Source organism: Homo sapiens, chromosome 6 (genome assembly GCF_000001405.40).
Source record: "Homo sapiens chromosome 6, GRCh38.p14 Primary Assembly".
Taxonomy (NCBI): domain Eukaryota; kingdom Metazoa; phylum Chordata; class Mammalia; order Primates; family Hominidae; genus Homo; species Homo sapiens.
The window spans coordinates 125,527,726-125,530,999 of record NC_000006.12 but is presented as its reverse complement, the minus strand read 5'-3'; the positions used below and the strand labels follow the sequence as shown (position 1 = coordinate 125,530,999).

At 42.6% G+C, this 3,274-nt stretch overlaps 1 annotated feature.

Moving 5' to 3' along the window:
• Positions 1,722 to 2,921: an enhancer, noted in NCBI's record as "CDK7 strongly-dependent group 2 enhancer chr6:125849225-125850424 (GRCh37/hg19 assembly coordinates)". NCBI's record gives its function as "activates an origin of replication core promoter dependent on BRD2, BRD4, P300/CBP, MED14 and CDK7 cofactors, with strong dependence on CDK7, by STARR-seq in HCT116 cells {active_cell/tissue: HCT116}" and the evidence as "EXISTENCE:reporter gene assay evidence [ECO:0000049][PMID:35650434]".

Sequence of the window (3,274 nt, the reverse complement as noted above, 5' to 3'; positions counted from 1 at the left end):
TACGCCTTGTGAGAGTGAACTTCCTCAGTGGATGTTTACGCAGATGCTGGATGCTGAAGATGCTGAAGGGAGCATGGGTTGGGATTTTGACCTATATAGCTGATAGAATCTTTTCCAATTCCTGAGATTTTATTCTAAACATCTAAGTTGACACAATCATCTCTATCTTTTGCTTTTATTGTCTATTCCATTTGTATGAGATATTTGGTATTTTACTTAATTTTGTGCTGTTTGCTCCTTTTCTATTTATTCAGCTGCATACTTGATTTTAAAACCACTCGAGAATTGGGAATGCCTATAGGCAACTGTCACAAAGAGCCGCTGCCAAGACCGCTCAGTGGTGGAAGAGCCTCTCTAGAGGAAAAATGAGCAATTTCGGAGTGAAAAAAGGAATATGAATCTTAGACTCTAGCCAGGAAAATTGATGAAAGAGGGCATCGTGGGAAACCGAAAGATCCTAAGAATAATTTATATTGCAAATTCAGAAGCAAAAATCTAAAATGGTGCAATTTGTAAAGACAATCAAGTGTTTTCTCAAGGAAAATAGAGGAGGCCCATCTCAATCTGTGATTGCTGGGATGCACTTGTCCAATACTGCCTATTTCATGACAAAAAATGGATAGGACTCTAAATTGCCTAGCAGGGTTGTTCTACGTCTGTGTCTGCTTCTCCTCACTGTATGTATTTGAACAGAGTTTTATATTTGTCTTGGGTAAGTTAAGTTTGTGAATATGACCCTCCTTTAATTCTCTAGAGGCCTCCAAGCTTACATGTCTTCGGAAACTGGGTCCCTGGGTTATTGAGCAAATACTCAACAACCTGCTCTTCTGTTCCAAGAGTGGAAGGAGAAGCAGTCATGGCCAGTTGTTGAATGTCTTTCTTCACTAATTCTGGAAAGACTTGGGGATAGTAAGGAGCTCCAAATAAAGTTTTTAGATAAATGATAGAGATTAGATAGAAAAACTTGGTACCTAAACTATGGAACTACAAAATTTTAGAACCAGGGGATAAACCTCAGAGATGATCTTGTTCACAGATTCTCAACCCTGACAGTACATTAGAATCATCTTGGTTGCTTTAAAAATCAGTACCAATACTGAGACTCTACCCCCAGAACAATTAATTTCCTTAAATTGGGCTCAGGAAATAGCCTTCTTTTTCTAATGAAGAAGATGAAGTCTGAAGGTTTCTTTAACTGCACCAGGTTCCAGAACTAGTGGTGGCAGCAGGAGGCCAGCACCAGTCTCAGGGCAGTGAAAACACTTTTTAAAGTTGTATTTCCAGAAGACATTTTTAAAAATTGTATTTCTCTATTCCATTTTTATTCAGTTCTACATAGAAACAGCGATCCTCCATCTCTTCACTCCATTTTTTTTTAACCTCTGCATTTACCAAACACCAGCTACATCTCTGAAGGAATTCTCTCTAAAAATAACTTGGACTGTGCAGATCGTTTTGTTTATTTAAGGAGCCCCTTATCAGGGACGGGACACTTGGAGGAAACTGAGAGTGTGTGGGGTTTATATGAAGCTCCCTACATTCACGCACACGCATCTTGAAATTGACCAGACAGACGGGTTCCAAAGAATGAGAATCCTGACTGGAATGGATTAAACACGGAGGAAGAAATTCTTGTCTTCTTCCCTCTCTCTTAATTCTGATCTGTAAGCTACGCTTTAGGTAAATGGGTCACATGAGAGGCTCCCAGGTGGCCTGGCCAACCTTAGGAGGAGTCTCTTGTGGCCCTCTGACCTGAGGACAGTGTTTTCCCTTACAGAAAGGAAATGAGCCTCTAAGACTGAAAAGGGGGCATTGTCATGGGAAGATGTTTGCCTCTTACAACCCAGAGCAGAAACTCAAAGCTTTTAGTCTTCACTCTTTCCTTCCCCACCACATTTCTTTTAAAAAGCAACAAATTCTAGCTGGTTATCACTTATGCTCCACCCCATTCTTGTATGTCAGCTTTTGTGCAGGAAAATAGAGAACTGTTTTCATTGCCTTATCAGAGTCCCAGGAAAGGGGAAAGGAGCGTCTGGCCCGCTATCTATGTCTTGCCTGGGGACAATGAAATGCTGAGAGCAGGCTCCAGGGGCGAGGGGCTGCCACTTCAGACCCACAGTGTCTGCAAGGACCAGGGAAGGAGGGGAGGGAGGAGGGACTCTCCTTAGCCTGCCGAAAGCATAATAGCCCCTGGGGTGGGCTGCTGCAAACAGGAAGGGTGTGGGCGGGATCTGAGCACAGCTGCTCCTGCCGCCCATTCCCACAGCCTTTGATCAGCAGGCAAATGGCATTTTGTGCCCTGAGATAAATGCCTGGTCAGAGGGTGTGGGTGTCTGTGGAGGGGGATAAGGATTAAAGATGAAGGTATTTTATAGCCTGCCTTAAGGATGTGTGTTTCCAACCTAGGATCAGGGAGGTGCTAGGTACAAAGGAACGGAAAGGTTTCCCATGAATGCATTCATTCATTCATCAAACATTTGTTCTGTACCCAGTAAATTCAGGGCACTGTGTTGGACACAGTAGGGGATGCAATGGTAAATAATACATGTACTGTTCTAGCCTAGTATGGTGAATCTGAAGCATGAGAAGGTTATTTGGGATGTCACAAATTACAGGGTGGGATGGCAAGAGGCAAGAAACCTTTTTTTAGGATATATACATTCTCCTCACTCTAGAATCAGATACTCTGCCCCACTCCCCCTCTTTCGATCTTGCCATGTGTACCCTGCAATTGAGAATTACTATGAACAAGCAATGCTTTGGACTTGTGAACTAGGTAGAGGCAGATTAAGAAAAACAAAGAAAACTTCTGCTTGGTCTAATCGAAAAGCTAAGGCTCATAAAAAAAAAGCAAATAAAAACAAACGACCAAAGCCTACAGATACATAGTAGAGAGGGGTAATTCCACAGGGGAGAAGGAGATCATGATGGTGACAGTGGAGAGGAGAGACCCCTTCCAGCCAGGGTGAAGCTGGTGATGGTGATGTCAGACAAGAAGACTTTAATGGAAGGCATGATTCCTAGAGGAGGTCTTGAGGGAGGCATGAAGTGAAATTTAGATACATGGTGATGGGCAAGCAGTGCTGGGAAGAATGGGAAGGGTAGAAAGAGCATTTTGGGGCAAATAGAATATCATAAATAGAGTACAGTGGCAGAGATGAACACACCTGGTAGAAAATAGCTCAGTTTGACTGAGAATATATATGCTTACTCCAAGAACCAGAAGGATGAAAAGTAAAGTGGAGCCATATGCTAGAGGACTTTGAATACAGAC